At 33.6% G+C, this 21387-nt stretch overlaps 1 long non-coding RNA gene across 1 annotated transcript in view; it reads right to left on the bottom strand.

Annotated features, from left to right (window-relative positions):
* Window positions 1-21387, bottom strand: part of LOC105378031 (uncharacterized) — a 181459-nt gene that overhangs the window by 45528 nt on the left and 114544 nt on the right. The window contains exons 2-3 of the long non-coding RNA XR_943079.3: window positions 15403-15516; window positions 5828-5915 (exon numbers count right to left, since the gene is read on the bottom strand). This is a non-coding gene — a long non-coding RNA (uncharacterized LOC105378031). The remainder of the gene's footprint in view (window positions 1-5827; window positions 5916-15402; window positions 15517-21387) is intronic.

Raw genomic sequence — 21387 nt, forward strand, 5'->3', positions numbered from 1 at the left:
AATTCTGTGCTTTTAAACTCTATGCTGTGCTACCTCCCAAAGGATTCTATATCCAGGTTGATCTTCACACACAGAAAAGTAAGGAAGATGTTTTCAGCTAAATTTCATCATTGACTCTAGAATGCAAATTATTTTCAGGTTTTTAACTTGGTTAAGATTAGTGTATGCTCTGGATCAATGTCATGCCAGAGTTTATTGGGTAGAATCCTTTTCTTTCTTTCTTTGTGGTATATAAAATTATAACACACCTAGAAGATGTCAACTTAGAAATTCTCAGAAAGCATATAATTAATGCGTTTTTCTAAAATGATGACTTGATGAGAGCCTGAGGATGAGGGAGAAAAGGGAGAAAAAAAGAAAGAGAAAAATTAGAACAAAAGGAGGAAAGAAAAATTAAAAAATAAAATACAATTATGGCTTGATGTACTTTAGAAGACCATGAGATGAAACAGTATAAATTGCTTGGGATGAAGAGGTTCTGGTGTAAAAAGCCAATAACTAAAAAAATGTGCAATCAAAATAATTATTGAATAATTTTTGATACAAAAATCAACTAATTGAAACAAATATACCATATGTTATATAATAATTTTGCAACGCCAATTAGAAGAAACACCCCAATATTTTGTCTCTATAAATTTGGAAGCACCTGAGTGAGAAAGGTGTGGGTAAAGAAATTTAAATTGAATGAAAGCATACACAGTTTCCAAACATACACTGAGAAAGTGCATGCTCACACATTTTCTTAGCAGAATTGGAGTTTGTTGTAAGCACTAGGTCTGTGCTTTAAGAATTCTTTCTTCTCAATTAAATTTTGGAAGTTGAGCAAACCCTTTTTTCAATAATAATTTTATAAGGATATGTATTATTGAAAAACATTGAAAAAAGTTTTTATTGAAAAATATATATCATTATCATAAATATATATCATCATAAATATATATCATTATCATGTACAATTATAATCACTACAACAAACTGAAAAATAAATGGCATTTTCTTCTTTATAGCCAAATGAATGTTTAATTGTGGGAACCCTGGACAAATTATCTCAATACTTTTTAATATGCAAGATAGATAGAAACATAGATGATAGATAGATAGATAGATTAGATATAGACAGATACATTCTTTTAAAGTTCATAAAAAGACAGGAGAGCAAGAAAAGAAAATAAAAACAATTATTATTCTAAGAAACAGATGTGTTGACCTATTCAAACAAAAATTTTCAAAATTAACTGCCTAGAAAAAAATGAACAAGTGGCGCATAATCTTTGTTATTTAAGTGTGTTGCTTAAAACACAATGTATACAATAAAGTAGTGTTTTTATAAATAAACAATATTAAGAAAGTCTGAGTCTGACAGAGATTAAATTTCATAATCAGTACCTAAAACTGGTTATGTCTGACATGAAAGATGCTTAATGGTATCTAAGTATTTATATTTTTAAAAATTTGTTCTAATTATGTATTCTTCTTTTTAAATTATGCATATTAATTTCATATTTATAATCTAATGCAATAAAATATCATACTTTAAACCAATCTATTGTAAAAAGCATTCTAATATTACTTTATGAATTACATTATTAGAAAGCCTAGGAATTTGGACTTTGGGATTCTGTTCATCTAATAGAAGTTGACCCAATTAAAAACAAAGACATCACACCAGTTAGAATGGCGATTATTAAAATGTCAGGAAACAATAGATGCTGGCCAGGCTGTGGAGAAATAGGAATGCTTTTACACTGTTAGTGGGAGTGTAAATTAGTTCAGCCATTGTAGAAGACAATGTGGTGATTCCTCAAGGATCTAGAACCAGAAATACCATTTAACCAAGCAATCCCATTAATGGATATATACCCAAAGGATTATAAATCGTTCTACTATAAAGACACATGCACACGTATGTTTATTGCAGCACTATTTACAATAGCAAAGACTTGGAACCAACCCAAATGCCCATCAATGATAGATTGGATAATGAAAATGTGGCACATATTCACCATGGAATATTATGCAGCCATAAAAATGAATGAGTTCACGTCCTTTGCAGTGACATGGATGAAGGTGGGAGCCATCATTCTCAGCAAACTAACGCAGGAACAGAAAACCAAACACCACATTTTCTCACCATAAGTGGGAGTTGAACAATAAGAACCTATGGATGCAGGGAGGGGAACAACACACACCCATGCCTGTTGGGGGGTTGTGGGCAAGGGGAGGGAGAGCATTTGAACAAACACCCAATGCATGTGGGGCTTAAAACCTGGATGATGGGTTGATAGGTGCAGCAAACCATCATGGCACATGTATACCTATGTAACAAACCTGCATGTTCTGCACATGTATCCAAGAACTTAAAGTAAAATTTAAAAACAAAGAAGAAGATATTAGAAAAGATAAGTTCCAGAGTAAACCTGTGGACAGAAATCAATGTATCATAGCTCTTTTAAAGGGTTAGGTGGTCACAATGCTATAATACATCATTATAAGATATTAGATTTTTGTAGTAGAATTGGGACAACTTTAGATCCCAAAATGTTTATTTATTTGAATATTATCCTTAAATTTTAGTGGCTTATTTCTATTAGTTTACTGCAAATTAGATTATAATATCAATTGAAGAGAAACAATATTGAAGAACTGCCATTTGAATGCACTTATAATAACAGCATATAATATAAATTGGATTCTTTTTTTTTACAACTAATTTGGTATGTAATTGTGGATATCCTGGACAAAAACCCATCAGTCCCATCTACCATGCTATGATTTTATTATTATAGTCTAGAGATGCTGTCCTTAATAACTACTTAGGTTAAAAACAATTTATTAAAAAATTACACAATTCATGAAATACAGTAGTTAATACAAAATGACTTTCCAACATTGACAAATAGTTTCTTAGAGGGCAAAATAGAGCATTTGTTAATGTAAATAATGTTGACTGCACTCAATTGGAGCAATTGGTTGAATGAGTCTCAACAAATGTGTTTTTTTACTTCACTGCTATTCTTTGAGACCTTGATTTTGAATTATGGCAGTCCCCTTACGTGTTTTGTTTCCATCACCAGCAAAAAAATAATTTATCAGGCACAAAGAAAAAAATCAAAAATAATTTTTTAAAAATGTAACCCTCAGTGGCTTCATATGTATATGAATATGGGTATGTGTGTGTGTGTGTGTACACATACATATCTTAGTGGAAATGCATGAGTGCAAAACTCCATGAAGACTCTCAATTCAAAAATTGGGCACAATTTGCTATATAAAATCCCACATACAGTCAGTCGTTGATTTCTGGAAATGTCAATATAAATGCTCACCCAGTTACTACAATTTTATCAATTCATGACACAGTAGAACTAAAGTGAATTCATACATTTATTCTATTCTGCTTTTGACAAGCACTGCATAAAACTTCCACATTTTTTTCTCAGATGTACTTTCCTACAAAATGCCCATCCCTACATCTCCTAGAGACCCACTCTCTGTGAGTTATTGGAAAGCTTTCAACTTCACAAAAATTGTAAAAAAAACAAACAAACGAACAAAAAACCTTTAGGGTTGGTGCACACAATCGGCAAGGCAAGATCCATAAGGCTACAGAGAGATTCATCGCAGTCATATCTTCTTAAAACATTCCTCTTAGTTGGAAGAAAGAAAGGTAAGAAATTCAAACATTACAGCTTGACGAATACCATGAAAGAAGCAATTTTGGTACAGAACTCTGAAGAACTGCTCTCCCTGCTCCCCAAAGATACTGCCCCAAATTCAGTTTTACCAGAGATGTAGGGTAAGAAATCTTGAGTGTTGGCACTTTTGCAGTCAGAAAAGATAAGTAGATCTCTATAGGACAATCTCCATATCCCAGGCAAGAAAAAAAAAAAAACATGGCACAGTCTAAGAGTTGCAATATAATCTATTTCTCTACAGCAAGGGTTAGCAAAGTGTTTTTGTAAAGGACCAAATAGTAAATATTTATATTTTGCAGCCCCAGAAGCAAAATTAAGGATATTATGTGGGAACTTGTATAAAAAAGAGAGAAAGCAGATGTTCACAAATACTTAATATTTTAATTAAAAATTGGAGTTATAGATACGAAAACTTGAACTTCATATTTTTACTTGTCATGAAGATTTTTTGCACTGATTTTCTCAAAAATTTGATAATGTTAAAACCATTCTTAGTCCACTGGCTGTACAAAAAAAGAGGCAATGGGCTAAATTTGGCTCTTGGGCTGCAGTTTGCTGACCCCTGCTCTGAAGCAAAATCAAAAACCCTGTATGACACAACCTATTATCCAAGATAAATTGAGTCTTGAAAGTGAAATATAGCAACAGGAAAAGAATAGCATGTGCAAAAGCCTTCTACAATTTTAAGAGCAGGTAGACACTGAACATTAGTTTAAAAAATTGAATCTTTTAATATTAATGAGAAGGCAATTCAAAAAAGGAAAGCAATTCTTATTTAAAAGCTGAATAATGGCTTAATTTTTAATTCCATTAGTGTTTAGAAAAATATGTAGTTGAGAGAAAGCCAGCAAACAAGAATAAATTTCTCAAAGTATAATGAGACGTCACTTAGAATCTAGTTTAAAATAAAAGCAAAATGCCTGCAAAAAAATCACCAAAGAAGCACTGCTGAATTTCATAACTGTTATGATTTGTTACAGTAATTATACATTTTAGACTGAAAATATAAAGAAGAAAAATTCAAGTAACATGACTTACAGTAAGACAATGAACTATATCATATGACATTCAGTTTTACACCATTGGTTATTGTGTGTGTTAGCTTAAGAAACTTATTTGCTACCTTAGAACTTTATAATATAGCTATATAGTTATTGTGTCTTTAAAATGAATGATATTTTGTTTCATTTCTGCAGTAGATTGGGCTTTAAGCCTTTGATCAGTAAGAGAGTCATTTATTACACCATCCTTTAGTATTAACTTTCAGATTTCATTTTTATTATTTACATTTATAACAAATTAAGTTTTCCAAAAGCTGAAAAATCTGAAGACAGTCCAAACTTGAATTTGTTTCATTTCTTTTCAAACATAAGAATTAAAATCAATTCTTTATTCACATGTAATGATCTTAGAACATATAACAGGCCTTAAGTGAAGCAAACACTAATTCAAACTAGTACATTTGCAATCAGTTCACTTCAGAAACTTTGTTCTGTTTTCCTTCACAATTAATATGCTCTACATGTGATGTTTATCAGCTTTCTAAATTAATGCTTACCATGCGGAGAAGCATCTAGTGAATCAGGTCCATTAAATAACAACAGAGGAGGCATATTTGGCTTCACAACCTAGGCAGGACTAAGATATCCAGCAATATTCTTTCTCTACATGGGACCTTTCAAGGAAGTTACCAAATGCCAGTTTCTTTCTTCACTGCATGTCTTGTTCATTGGGAGAGCATATATTATTTCTCCACATAGTAGAATACCAACTTGTACATCTGACTAGTGTTTTCCTCTAATTTTTCCAATCAGATGTTACACAAGATTAAAATCAATAATGTAAAAAACTTTAGAAAATAAACATCATTTAATATTATAAACCATCAGAATAAGTAGGTCATCAATTAAAAGCATTCACTGGCTTAAGGTTAATAAACAGCTACTTTTAGCTGAATGCTTACCACATGCTAGGCACATGCTAGAAACCTTACATACCATATCCGTTAGATATTACTACCACAATTTTATAGATAAAGAACTCAAAGAAAGGGTAAGAGATTATTTTCAAATCCATACAGCTGATACAGTATGTGATACATTACAAATTTAAATCCAAGTCTAACTTACCCAGCAGTCCTTGTTTTTGTCCAGTATGCTATAATGCATTTGGCAAGCAAATCTTGAAATTACACCAGCACTTGCAGAAAATGACAGCCTAACACAATGACCAAAACAAAAGAAAACAAAATGAGAAGAATTTCTGGAAATAAGGACTAAATGTGTGTCTTTTATCAGAAGGACGATGATGGAAAAATAAATTCATAGACTTTGTTCAAGTTGTGTGCTGCTAGATTAAAGGACTTGATTTGTCCTATTAAATTTTGACATCTAGAACTTTTGTTAGCATCAAAACATCACGTAGACATTAAATTCAAAGAAAGAATAAGAAAATGAATAATAAACATGAAAACAACTTAATAAAATGTAAAACAAACCTACAAAGGAGAGGACCAAAAATATCAGAAGTTGGTTATTTTTACAAAAATTTTAAGGAAGGCTAGTAAAGCCTAGATATTATAAACTCATTAGTACATTCTATATCTTCTACTGATTACACCTCTAGATAGAATTCAAAAAGCAACTACCTGAGGACTTTGAGTAATAAACAATAAAAAACAGATGGGAAATTAAAGTCAAACTTAAACACAGGCTCCTGGGACAGGGCTGAATTTACTATATTTCTTCTTTTCTTATTTAGAGGTGGTATTAATCACTCAATTTTGTTTTTCATTTTCAAACTTCTTTGGCTGCCATAGCATTTTCAATGAGTTTCAGAATCAAATTGTCCATTTCTATAAAAACACAATGTAGGATTTTCACTGGGGTTGTGTTTAATCTGTAGATCATTTTAGGACAAACTGACATCTTAATAAGATTGAATATTCTGAACCATAAATCACCTTGCTAAACTCACTTATTAATCCCAGTAAATTTTGTTTGCAGATGTCATCAGATATATAGGCAATCATGTCGTCTCTGGATAAAGACAGCTTTATTCCTTCCTTTCCTATCTGCATACCTTCTGTTTTTTTTATTTTTTTCTTCCTTATTTTACTGGCTAGAACCTTCAGTACAAAGTTGAATAGAAGTAGTGAAAGCACATAGTCCTCTCTTTTTCCTGATCTTAAGGGGAAAGTTTTCAGACTTTCACCAATATGTGTGATGTTAACTATGTTTTTCATAAACATCTTTTATCAGTTCTATCATGTCTAGAAAATTTCATTATATTTATATTTTGCTGAGAGTTTATAACAGAAATGTATCTTGGATTTTATCAATTAATTTTTCTGTTTCTATTACGTTAATCACATAATTTTACTTTTTTTCGTTCTTGAGTTTGTTAATATGATTAATTATACAGATTGATTTTATATGCTTTGGTCATAATTATCTTTCTTCTGTATTATTTCATTGAATTTACCATATATTTTTTAATTTTGGCATACATATTTGTGACATATATTGACTTGTACTTTTCCTTTTAATGTCTGTCTGTTTAATATCAGGGTAATTTAGACCTTATACAGTCAGTTGGAAAGTATTCTCTTCAGTCACTGGAAAAATTGGTGTAGAATTATTATTTTGTACTGAAACGTTAGTAGGAATTTCCTAGTAATTTTCTTTGTGGGAAGGTATTTGACTACAAATTTAATTACTTTAACATACATACTTATAGCAGTAACATATACTACAAAATACTATCTAATGGTATATAATGGCATGTATGTATTCACCTTTATGAATACATAATATATACATAACATATATATGTAATTATCTACTATAATATTTGAGATATACTATAATATTTGAGATATAATATTAGGTTACATACTCCTTTTTTTTTTTTTGAGACAGAGTCTCACTCTGTCACCCAGGCTGGAGTGTTCACTGCAACCTCTGCCTTTCGGGTTCAAGAGATTCTCCTGCCTCAGTCTCCTGAGTAACTGTGATTACAGGTATCCGCCACCAAGCCCGGCTAATTTTTTTTTTTTTTTTTTTTTTTTTTGGATTTTTAGTAGAGATGGGGTTTCACCATGTTGGCTGAGCTGGTCTCAAACTCCTGACCTCAAGTGCTCTGCCCACCTTGGCCTCCCAAAGTGCTGGAATTACAGACATGAGCCACCGTGCTTGGCCTAGGTTACCTATTCTTCTTGAGTGAACCATGATAGATTGTGCCTTTCAAAGAATTGTCCATTTGATTCATGTTGCCACATTTATAAGGTATTAATTACTTTAAAATCATTTTAATATCTGTAGAGTCTATTGTGGTTTGCTGCACTTATCAACCGTAATCTAGGTTTTAAGCCCCACATGCATTAGGTATCTGTCCTAATGCTATCCCTCGCCTTGCCCCCCAGTCCCCGATGGGTCCCGGTGTGTGTTGTTTCCCTCCCTGGTCCATGTGTTATCATTGTTCAACTCCCACTTATGAGTGAGAACATGTGGTGTTTGGTTTTTCTGTTCCTGTGTTAGTTTGCTGAGGATGATGGTTTCCAACTTCATGCATGTCCCTGCAAAAGACATGATCTCATTCCTTTTTATGGCTGCATAGTATTCCATGGTATATATGTACCACATTTTCTTTATCCAGCCTACCATTGATGGGCATTTGGGTTGATTCAATGCTTTTGTTATTGTAAATAGTGTTGCAATAAGCATATATGTGCATGTGTCTTTAAAGTAGAATGATTTCTATACCTTTGGGTATATACCCAGTAATGGGATTGCTGGGTCAAATGGTATTTCTGGCTCTAGATCCTTGAGGAATCACCACACTGTCTTCCACAATGGTTGAACTAATTTACATTCTCATCAAAAGTGTAAAATCATTCCTATTTCTCCACAGCCTCACCAGCATCTATTATTTCTTGACTTTTAGTAATCACCATTATGACTGGCATGAGATGGTATCTCTTTGTGTTTTTGATTTGCATTTATCTGATGATCAATGATGTTAAGCTTGTTTTCATATGTTTGTTAACTGCATAAATGTCTTCTTTTGAGAAGTGTCTGTTCATATCCTTTGCACACTTTTTGATGGGGTTGTTTTTTCTTGTAAATTTGTTTAAGTTCCTTGTAAATTGTGGATATTAGACCTTTGTAAGATGGGTAGATTGCAAACATTTTCTCCCATTCTATAGATTGCCTGTTCACTTTGATGATAGTTTCTTTTGCTGTGCAGAAGCTCTTTAGTTTAACTAGATCTCATGTGGCATTTTCCTCATAAAGATTTTGCCCATGCCTATGTCCTGAATGGTACTGCCTAGGTTTTCTTCTAGAGTTTTGTAGTTTTGGGTTTTACATTTAAATGACTTAGATATTCTAATTCTGAAAATATTTTAAAGTGGTAAAAAATGGATAGAGGAATAAAGTTCACACATGAAACCCAAAAGGCAAGTGTCTTAGTTGCTTGTATAAAAAATTCAGACTCATATAAAACATGCAAGGAGTAATTAAGTTTCTAAGTCTGGAAATCTCAATCATTTTGGAATTAAATTTTTATACATTGTCAGACCTTAATTTTGATTATGGTCTTTCAGTTCTATTTTGTATATCTTATATTGTGTTTCCTAACTTCTGTATTTCTTAGTATGTGAACTCCATTAGTATTAAAACAAATAGTTCAACTTTTTATAATATTAAAATGCAATATTATTGCCTATTAAACCTGTTCACAGTAGAATTATAAAAGCATTTATTTAAAGTTTTACAATTTTACCTGAAAGCATACATCTAAAATTTTAAGTATATTAATGTAAAAGAAATATGAACAAAGTAATTTCATATTTGACTGGACATGTTGTGATTAGCAAGTAATATATTGCTGTAAGGGCATTAAATCCTGCAGATAAGAAAGGAAATATTAAATGGAAAACTTATGAATGAACAGTGCATAAATCTGGCTCTCAATCTTGTTTATATGTAGATTATCATAGACTATTTGATGAAGATAGTCAATTATTTTTGAATTTTTTGACCAAAACAATATTCTCAGTATACTAAATAGGTTTACTTTATATTGTATTTATCTTTGTTACAACAAATAAGAAAATGAAAGAATATCCTTAAAATGAAAATAGACTAATAACTTTAGAATAAAATATGAACTTACATTACATTTCACAGGCTATTCAACTATCAAGAGACAGATTCAAAAGAAAGATTTCAGTCATGTGATTGAGAATCCTTATTCAAAGGATGAGAATGTCATTATTAAGAGGTTATATAACTGCAGAACAATAGCTATAAGGTAGTATAGCAAGAATGCAAAACTCTCAGATATGGGAGTTTTTCAATGAGGGTTAAATGGTAAGGACAGCACTTAATGAGAATTCTATGCCACAGGACTCACAGAATGTAGAAAACCAGTCAACCTCACAGATATGGCTACAGTGAAAAGTCAAGTTTCATTGAAGATACTGTACAGAATGCATTCCATTAATAAATTGATTATATAAGGTGTCTGTTTCAGGGAATAGGTTTTTCATAGGCCATTAAAAAAAAGTAAGAGACTCTTTTACTTGTTATGTTAATACTTATAAATTAATGAATAAACATACCAATAAATATCTCATTTAATTCTTAAACATCACTCTAAAGAAAGTATTATTACACCATCTAAACTTCAAAAATGAGAAAACTGGGTCTTAAGGATTTTTGCTAAGTAACCTATCAAAGTTTGCATAACTAGTATGGGCAGAATCCAAAAGTCACACTTGGGCAATGTGATTTTAAAGTGTTTTTATAAAGTATGTGCTGTGCTGCTTCAGCATCTGAGGTATGGAATAACCAATAAACCTTGGACTTTTTCTAAACATCCCACTTCTACCAATGTAACCTAAGATCATATTAGCACTACTGACAACACAATTACACTATTCACACAAACGAAGCATAAAATAAATCAAGCATTCCTGTATCTTTTTCTTTTTCATATGAAACTAAAATACGTTTTTCTGACAACAATCTGTTCTGAAAATTATTCTGTAATCAAATACATAGGTATCTTTCCAAGGAAAATTTTAAAATAAAATTTAAACCTAGCACAATATGAAGTGCAGAAGATACAAATTTAAGAATATAATAACAGGGCTGAGCATGGTGGCTCACGCCTGTAATCTCAGCAATTTGGGAGGCCAAGGCAGGTGGATCACCTGAGGTCACAAATTCAAGACCAGTAGGGCCAACATGGTGAAACCCCATCTCTACTAAATACAAAAAATTATCCAGGCATGGTGGTGCATGCCTGTAGTCCCAGCTACTTGGGAGGCTGAGGCAGGAGAATTGCTTCAACCCAGGAGGCGGAGGTTGCAGTGAGCCGAGATTGTACCATTGCACTCCAGCCTGGGCAGAGAGAGACTGGACAGAGCAAAACTCCATCTTAAAAAAAAAAAAAACTGTAATAACATTTAAAGAGGTTTTCAGAAAGACTATCACACCATAAATAGTGTTATTAAAAAGAAAGAATTAGCAACTATGGTAGGCTTTTTCCTAATTAAGCAGTTTTGCATTTATCTTCTGGGTCACATATAGAATAGAGAAAGGGAGAGTTCATTCCAGAGGATAAATGCACAAGCAAAGGGCTCCAGGTCATACAGGCACCTGTACCCAAGGATTTACAATGGGAAATTAGCAATGACAGGAAATTGTCTATTTCTTTAAAACTAAGTACGTCAAAGGGTCTTTCTGTGCCAATTGTTCCTGATAATACTAAAATTAAAATAGTAAGTATACCTGTAGAGTCATGTACTATACAAATGTAAAATTTTATTATTATATTAGGGAGTGCCTGCTCTTAATTATTAAAAGGTTATAACTGAATATGAAGTAAAGAAGCCTTGATGATATCCTAATCTTGTTACATTACTAGAATGAATCTACTTTTGGCATGAAATAAATCATCTTTTCCAGGTTAAACGACATAATTTTTATGGACAGAGGTGAATTAACAAAACAGGATTCTATCTTTATGTTATAAAATTCACTAGCATCTTTGTGCCCTAATTCACAGATGGCTTTTTAGCCTGTTGGCATCATTAAATAAATAAATGAATACATGTAAATAAATAAACAATCTCAATTTTATGCAAGTTGTCTTAATTCTTTCAACAAGTACTTATTCTTTAACATCTACTGTATGCCCACTCATCCATGTTAAGGGCACTTAAGTAATTTATAAAACTAGTGGATGCCTTGTATTAAATTATTTACAATCATCCACAAGTCAGTTGCTGAATATATTTCTGAAGCCAACCTAACCAACTAGAGTATTCTGCTGAGCCCGAAAAAGAGCAAAGTCCTCTATTCAAAACAGAATTAAGTTATGCACTATCACTATACAATTCAGTCAAAAAGTCTTGATATATATTTTCCCAACCAGAAAACATGTGAAAATGAGTTTGACTCTTTTCCCCTAACATTATGCAAATTTGAAAGGAAATGCAGTTATCTTTCATGTCATATTGATTATTTTTGGCTTTCACTGACTCTAACAAGGTAGACCAATGTGGTATTTTACACCTTGCTAGAAAGAGCTTCTGCAAAACATGTTATTATTAGCTTCATCTGCAATTATAATGTCAACACCACATTTTGCCAGAATAGAAAGGGAGGCCAAGAAAAACAGAAACCATAAATGAGAAACAGCTTGGTCATGGATTCAGGTGCCAGCAATTTATTTAGTTTATTGGATTCAGGTTGCATCCCTGCTTTGTGAATAATTTCATTTTTCTTAAATACCCTTTATAAATGAACTGTTTGTTTAAAAAGATTTTAAGTTTGGGAAATTCATTTTTAACAACTAATTAACAGATTTTGAGTACTCATTACTATCTAAAATATTGTTTATGTTTTTCTCATTTTTCTTCCAATACCCTCTATAAATATGTAATCATTGTTGGTATCCCCCAATTATGATATTGAGGAAATTCCTTAATTTCTTTGTGCCTAGTGACCCTTAGTCAGTTGGTAATGAATGAATTTTGTCAAGCTGTATGAAATCCCTATCAAACACTTTGTACTCAACAACACAGGGCCTGTGGTCCACAGCAGTGATAATTCCTTCAGGTTAATTCAGTATTTGGAATTTGTGGGACAAGTTCTAGGAGTTATTATTTATGATATATAGAAACACAGTTAAACTTTCAATTCTTTTGCCTTTCAAGTAAAAAAGGCAGATATATAACATATTTAAAGTATGTGAATTTGATCACAGTAAGGTAATAAGGGACATTCCTCAAAGAATAATTTACTTTAGATTTCTTTCCCCTCCAATGAATAATGGCTAACTACTTACTCATCTACCTGACAGGGGTAGCTCTATTGTGAGAGAAACAATACTTATACAGTGTGCTTAGCATAAATAAATGGTAGCAGTAACAGCTTTAGTAGTTTTTGTTATCATTGCAGTTGTGTTGTTATAGCTACATTTTTGAACATGTATTTTATTTAACTTGTTAATCAAAAAAACAGTAAAATATTACAACTGGTTCCTGTTCTATTTTCAATTGGCCATCTTCCAGAGTTTCACCATCTCTCCATTTCTACCACTAGATTTAAAGTCTTGGCTGATTGCCAACCTATTTTTTATTCTTTTTAGCCTTTGACAATACCTTTGCTTTTTTTAATTTTTATTTTTATTTTTGGCAAGGGCTTAGGAGGGGGAACTCTATTCCATAATCCATATGGTTCTTACTAAAGTATAAAATTCTTCTCTACTTAATTTTGAAAAATCTGACAACTGTATCTCAGATACAGACTTTTTATATTTCAATTGTCACATGAAGAACAAATATTATTCTTCAGTGGACCCTATAATTTAGACTCCTACTAGCCATCTCACTCAAGGAAGAGCCATTCACCTGTATAAGTGACACAGGGCAGGCAAGCCCAAAACTTGGGGCTTATCCTGGGAGGGTTTTTGACTTCACCCAGGAAAGAATTCAATGGCAAGCTGGTGGTGTCAGATAGCAACTTTAATTGAAGCAGCCATGTACAGCAACAGCAGCAGAGGCACTGTTCCTTGCAAAGCAGGGATACCCGATTGGCAGTGTGTCCAGAGTAGCAGCTGAAAGGCAGTTCTGCTGTCATATTTATACCTACTTTTAGGTGCATGCAAACTAAGGGGCAGATTATACAGAAATTTCCTGATTGTTGCCACGGAAAGGGGCAGTAACTTCCAGGTGTTGCCACGGCAATGGTAGACTGACATGGCACACTAGTGGGCATATCTTATGGAAAGCTGCTTCCACCCCTTCCCCATTAATAGACAGTCCTCAATTTGGTCAGGTGTCTAAGCCCTGCCTGCAGAGTTGTGTCCCACCTCCTACCTCATAAGATTTTCTAGGTCCAGTCTTGATAAGTTCTGCTTCTCTGTTTTCCCACCAGTATGAGATTATTGAGATTATTGAGATTCTGTCATAGTCATGATAGACTCATGAGTGCAAGGATAAAGAAGGACCAGCAGGCAGGTTCACTGTTCTGAGTTACTTGTTCTTCTGGGTTTTTATTCAAGAGTTATATATGTATGGTATCATAGTAAGCCACAAACTAAATGCCTTCCCATGCTTATAATAAAAAGAAAGATACATACAAGCTTGTAAGTGAGCATAAATCTTTGTCATCTTTATCCAACCAACCCACAGAAATTGAACAGAACTCTTCGTTTAGGTTAACCAAAAACTGGGCAGTATAAATTTTTTCTCATATTTCAGAATTGAATTAATTAAATTGGAAATAAAAGAAATAAAACTCCACAGCAAAATATGTGGTCATTGTAACACCAGCAACAAAGAAAGAAAATGGAAGGACAGTGGAACCAAGTGGGATGTACACCTTGCTTGTTCACACATTTGCCTTCCAACACCCTCCCCTTGTTGTGGTTATTAATATGGGCCCAGGGACAACTTGAAAGAGCTATATGCAATTAAACTTACAAAATATTTTAATATTTGATTGAATTTATTATTTCTCCAAAATTTTTTAGGATGCCTAAATGACCTGTCATGTCTGTCTATTGCTTATATCCCTAGCCTGATTTTATACCAATTTCCTGTTGCCCTGCCTGCTCCTTACCCTTAATGATAGCATGGTAAGTGTTCTTAAGTTCCTCAAAAGTGTCACCAAATTTTCCTCCTCAGAGTCTTTGCATGAAATGTTCATTCCCCAGCTCTTCACCTAACAAAATTATACTTTGGATCTCGACTTAAATGTGATCTCCACAAAGAGGCCTTCTCTAATGCCCATTCTAAATTCCCTCCCCAAATCTAGTTTTGCTTTGTTTTGCTTTCATAATGTTTATCAGTTTTTATCTCTGCATAGATTTGGGCGACAATGTTTTTACTATCATTCCTTTAGTGTTTATCCCAGTGAACTGAACTTGATTAACAATGAGAAAACACATTAGCTCACTTGAGAGCAAATCCAGAGGTAGGTCGGACTTCGGTTGTTTGATTTAGGGGTAAATGAGATTGTACAATGGCTGCCAGTAACTTTATATCTCCTTGCTCATATTTAGCCACAGGGAGAGAGCTGGGTTCACTGACTTAAGGCCTGAGCAAAACATTCCTAAAAGCAAAACTAATCTCACATTTCACTGGACAACATTGGATCTCAAGATTATACTTGAGCTGATCACTGACCAGGCAGATGCAGTTTCCAAGGCTCTGACCCATCCTTGAAGCTGAGTTTGTGAAGATTTCTCTGAGGCATAGATGGTGTGGGAAAGAGATAGATACATAAACCAAGTCAGCATTCTGTTAGAAAGAATAAAAAGGAAATCAATGCTGGGTAAACAATTGCAATAACACCATATTATTATGTACAAAGAACCTGTTTATCTTGTTTGAACTGTGTAATGTTGTCATCAGCTTTGTTTTTAATGTTTTTAAATGCTGTGATTCCATTATTTACTATTCAAGTTAAATTAACAAATGTCATTTCTACTACCTTACAGGATGAGAATTTAGATGAATTTAGATGCATATTTATATGTAGCCAGAAGCATATTTCCCATCAAAACTGACTACAAAACTCATTTTCTAAATCTATGTCCTTCCCAAGAAGGTTAAACATAAATAATGCCTGATGCTATCCATCTTTGACAGGACAGGCCACTATAACAAAAATACTATAGTCTTGGTGGCTTAAACAAGAGACATTTATTTCTCACACATCTGGAAGCAGAGAAGTCCCAGGTCTAGGCTCCAGAAGAGTCTATATCTGGTGAGGGCCTGCTTCCTGGCTTGTAGACAGCATCCTTTTTAACATATACTCATGTGGCCAAGACAGAAATAATTTCTCTCATATTTCTTTGTATAAAGGCACTAATCCTATTCATGAAGGTGCCACTCTCACGACCTAATCACCTCCCACAGGCCCCACCTCTTAAAACCACCACAATGGGGATTAGGCTACAACATATGAATTTTGGGTGGGGGATACAAACATGCAGTCTATAGCACTATCTATTAAGAAAGCTGTTTTAATTCTTTACTCTGAAAAATTTCAGTTTACCAAGTAATTAGGAGAATTGTAAATAAATTCTAGAAGAAGAAATTGGAAAGCATAATGTCAAATCATGTAATATTTCACTTAAAACACCCTTAGTTCTATACAGGATTTATGTAGCCACATTATGTCTAAGATACTTAACTATAGACCAGTAAGATCATGTGGATTTCGGATAGAGAGGTGCAAGACAAAAAAAAAAAAGTGCATAGCTGCACCTCTCCAGGTGTGCTCCAAGGTCACAGAAGCACAAAAGTCAAAACTGCATCTGAGGATCTATTCACAAAAGTCAATATAGCACTGCAGAGAGATCTGCAGGAGGTTGGCTTGTAACAAAACATTCAAAGCTCAAAGCCTGATCTCACGGTCACCCCAATTCCAGAAGTCTGAGCTGTCTTTATAGCTCAGATTGTAGTGAGAAGAAAAGCTATCCTAGAGTGATAATTAAAACTAAATTGAAATACTTTGTGAGTTCTTCTCTAAAAGAACTCTATTAAAACATCTATTACCAATGTAGAATGCATTTGTATTTGCAGAAGTTAGTGGAGATGAGTCAAAGTGTCTATTCTACATGTATTTTACATCAGCAAGTTCAAAGAAATACAATGAATCTACTTTGTAGCCAGGCTTATACACACATGCATGCAAAGATACACACACGCATAGATACACACACACATACATACACAAGTAAGTACACACACATACACATACTTGAACTTAGATTTATTGCAGGAAAAAATGGAAAATCATTTTATAGTCAGCATATCGTTATTATTTCCAGAAATATGCATTAAATCACGGTCTAATGTAATCCAGAGTAATTTTAGTTGTTACCATTTCTGTTGTGTGTCTACTCTATACCTGGCATTTACATTATCCAAAGGCTACCATGCTAAGACTGTGCAGTTTTGGGACTGTTCACAAGTGACCAGCCACAAAGGCAGGGAAACCTACATAGTCTAGCTAGGGTTATGCTCTTTACAGCAGGATGCATCTATCCCAAAGTGGTACCTTTTTCTAATTCATCCACCAAAAGAGGATGCTTTTTTTTTTTGCTAATCTGCACAAAATTGCTGCACATGCTAACAGTTGTGCTGGCATTATCTATTATTCCTGGCAACGAATCCTACAATGTAGATGTTATGAATTCCATGTAACCTAAAACATTCTGACATGGATTATTCTTTAAGTAGTCAAGTAAAACAATATGAGCCTATCCCATCCTCCTAATTGTGAAAACTCAAGAGGCCTCAATATGTATTTGGATTCCGGTATTCAGCTGATGTGATAATCTCTTGGTTAGAATTTTGTGTATTACTCTGGCTGTCTCTCCACCAGTCTTGTGACTACTATCATCTCACAACATCATATTGCTCCATAGGAAATCATGACCTTTTCATCTGAGTTACCTAAGGCAGTAAATCACACACAAGCTATTGGTAACAAACTTATCAAGGTCTCTGGATGAGGAAGATAAATTACAAAACACATCAGCAACTATTTAAAATCAAATATCACACGTCATTTATTATTTTTATCACTTCCATAAGGGAGTTTTTAACCAGCTATGAGGTTCCACAGCCCTAGTCTGACACCAGAATTCCAAGACTCCATTTCTTCCAGCCAAATGTCTTTCTGAGCCTCCCCAAAACAACTCTACTGGGAACTAACATATTGCTCACCATTTCTTAGTTCTTTATTATGCAGAATTAAATTCTTTTTTTCTCAACTTTTTTTCCCTAAGACTACATAGAGCTAATCTCTTATAACCTCGTTATTTTAGATTAAATTATCCATCATCCATGAAATGTAGTGTGACTTCAATTGTTATTTCTTCTCTAGATAGCAACCTTTTCTTTTCTGATGCATCATTTCTACAAATGAGAAAACTGAGACTGTGCAACTTACATAAGATTACTCAGACTCCAAAGCCTACTCTCTTTTCATTAAACACCAATTTGAAAACAATTAGCACATAACAAGAAGAAATTCTGGACTTGAACAGAACCTTTATGCTAATAGGAGGAAATTATCATATGAGCTCCATTCATTCAACATAATAAATATCCTTGAGCACCAACAGTATAAGAGGGACAGATCCCTACAATTATGGATTCATGTTCTACTAAAAGATACAAACATTGAACAAATAAATACACAAATAAATACATATATTGCAATTAGTACTAATTATTATGAAGGGAAAGGATGGGATGCTATGAGCTAATAACAGAGAAGACATTTTAAAATGCAGCTAGTCTTTTCTATGCTCTTTGAAACATAAGGCAAAATTCTTTCCTAGATATTTTTAATACCCTGGATAGTTTTTTAAAGCCCAGAAACTATATGAGCCCTATAGACATATTTAACTGCTACTCTAATTTCCTAATTAAGTTGTTCCTCTCTTTTCTGAACCTGTCTCAAAACAAAATACAACATATAAGAATTAGTAAACAAATCCACAAGTAACAACTCTGTAGAAACCATCTATTTTCTCTTATCTCTACTCGCCAAGCTGGATACCTTGAGAATAAATCGCATAACGGAGCATCAAACTGAGATCATCTTTAGTGCATAATTGCATGCACTTGAAACAAGTTTTCCTATGAAGTTAATATGTTTCCTTGATTAAACCCTTTTCTCACGATTGAATCTGTAACACTTAACACTTGGGTGAAGCCCAGGCCTTCTCCTCCATAGAGGAAGAATGGAAATATCAGATGGGAAGTCTTACTCTTTCGACCTCTAAACCTCAATGTATCTGCACCCAATTTCTCCTGCATTTTAATTGTTACAAAACACACGTCTTCGTACCTAAAGCCAAGCACTCTGTGCTCTGAATCTCTTCCCCTCAGCCTTCTCAGAAAACACATGCTATTTATTGTCCTTGCTCTCTTTTGCTATCTTTATCTCATGTTTCCTACTAGATAAATAAAATAAACAAATAAACAAACAGAACAAAAACCCACCTCCAATCTACATCTCCCAACAGTTGCTTTTCCTACTCTATGCCTTCTCACGCAAACTTGTCATCAGGAAAGTCGTTAACTTCACTTCCTGACCCACCATTCACTCCAACTCTGCCCAACTGAGTTTCCACTTCTCTATTACACAGCTAGTTATGGAATGAAAGTTTGTGTCTCCACCAAATTCCTATATGGAAGCTCTAATCCTCAGTGTGGCTCTGTTTGGAGACGGTGTTCTTCCTAAAGAAGTAATTAAGGTTAAATAAAGTCGTAAGAGTAGAACCCTGATATAATAGGATTCATATTGCTAGAAGATACACAGGAGGGCTCCCTCTCTCACTCCATACATGCAAACACAGAAGAAACACCACATGAGGACACAATAAAAAAGTGGCTGTCTGCCCGCTCAAAAGAAGGGCCACACCAGAAATTGAATCTGTTGGCATCTTGATCTGGGATTTCTATGGCCAAAATTATGAGAATATAAATTTCTGTTGTTTAAGCCACACACCCTGCGGTATTTTATTCTCACAGCCAGAGCCAACTAGTGCACAGTTCTTGAAAATGTCACTGAAACAACCATATCGCTAAATTGAATGGACATGAGCACAAAGGTTTTTGTCTGTAATATCTAGAGTTGGGGTAGAGAAGACTTTCTTAGAGAAGCAAATTTGAGCTGAAATGTTAAAGTTTAGTAGATAGTTTATTATATAAAAAGGTGGATATAATGGATACATTGTAGTGAATTTATACAATGGAACACCATATAACAATGAAATAGAACAGAGTACAACTGCATCAATAGTAATGAATCTCACAAGTATAATATTTGAATACAAAAATAAGAAAATATGAAATTTCATAATAAGAAAACTGTTTCATTGACATTAATTTAACAAATACTTGTGAGTACCTACCACTGTACTAGGCACTAAGAATGCAGAAATGAACAGAAGCAGCAAGTGCCTATTCTCATGGAGCTTACATTCTAGTAAGTGGGAGACTGACAATGAACATCAAACAAATGGACAAAAATAATGTCAGATAGTGGTAAGTGTGTGATGATAATGGTGTTAGTCACTGAGTTTTCTCCCTTGGAACATTCCCTTTCTATATTTACCTAGCTGTTCTTCCGCATCTCTGGACGTTTTTTTTCTTAGGCACATGTGCTGGCCTGTGTTCCCCTAGACACAATATAGACATTGAAAATGCTCCAAACTTGATCTTGGGTATTAGGCATCTTCAAATAAGATATCATATTTATTTACTATATTACAAATAATACCCAATGTTACATCTTCAGCTGATACTCTTCCTTGGAGATGTACATACATCTGCATCTTCCCTTGAATGTCTTAAATACATCTTAATCTGGTTTTTTTTCCCCAAAAAAAAGCCTAAAGCATCCTAGAAAAATATCTCAGCCACCATGATCAATTAATTAACAGTTTAAATACTAAATACCTTTCAAAACATCTTTTCTCTTCAACCTTGATTGTTTTTTTACTAACCCTGCTAAAAATCCTCCTAGTCAGTTTCTATCTCCCCACTTATAACCCCACTTCTGTGCCACGGCTTTTGTTTCAAATGAAAATACGATTATGAGTTATCCTATAAGCAACACATTTCCACTAGTTTAAATATAATGAGTAAAACTGTGAGAATATTTTAAGACTTGATAAAAGCCTTTAGAATCTTCTAAAATATGCTCTCATTTTTTGACCTCCTCACTCCCTAAACACCACACACGTCTTTCATTTTCTCAAATGCATATACTCTGCCACCTCCAAGCTTTTCAACACGCTTTTTCTTCTGCTTGAGAAAAGATTTTTTCCAACCTTCTTATATAATAAACTATCTACTTAACTTTAACATTTCAACCCAAATTTGCTTCTCTGAGAAAGTCTTCTCTACCCCAACTCTAGATATTATAGACAAAAACCTTCGTACTCATTAAACTCACATCTTGAAAAACAGACAATAAACAAATCAAATAAATAGAATATTAGAAATCCAGCAATTTTACTCCTGAATATACATAATAAACAGAAATATGTAATACCAAATACACGTATGGTAGTGTTTACACAAATATATAAGATCAAGTATCAAAAAAATACAGCAGCATTGATAGCAATATTATTGGCC

Source organism: Homo sapiens, chromosome 6 (genome assembly GCF_000001405.40).
Source record: "Homo sapiens chromosome 6, GRCh38.p14 Primary Assembly".
NCBI classification, from domain to species: Eukaryota; Metazoa; Chordata; class Mammalia; order Primates; family Hominidae; genus Homo; species Homo sapiens.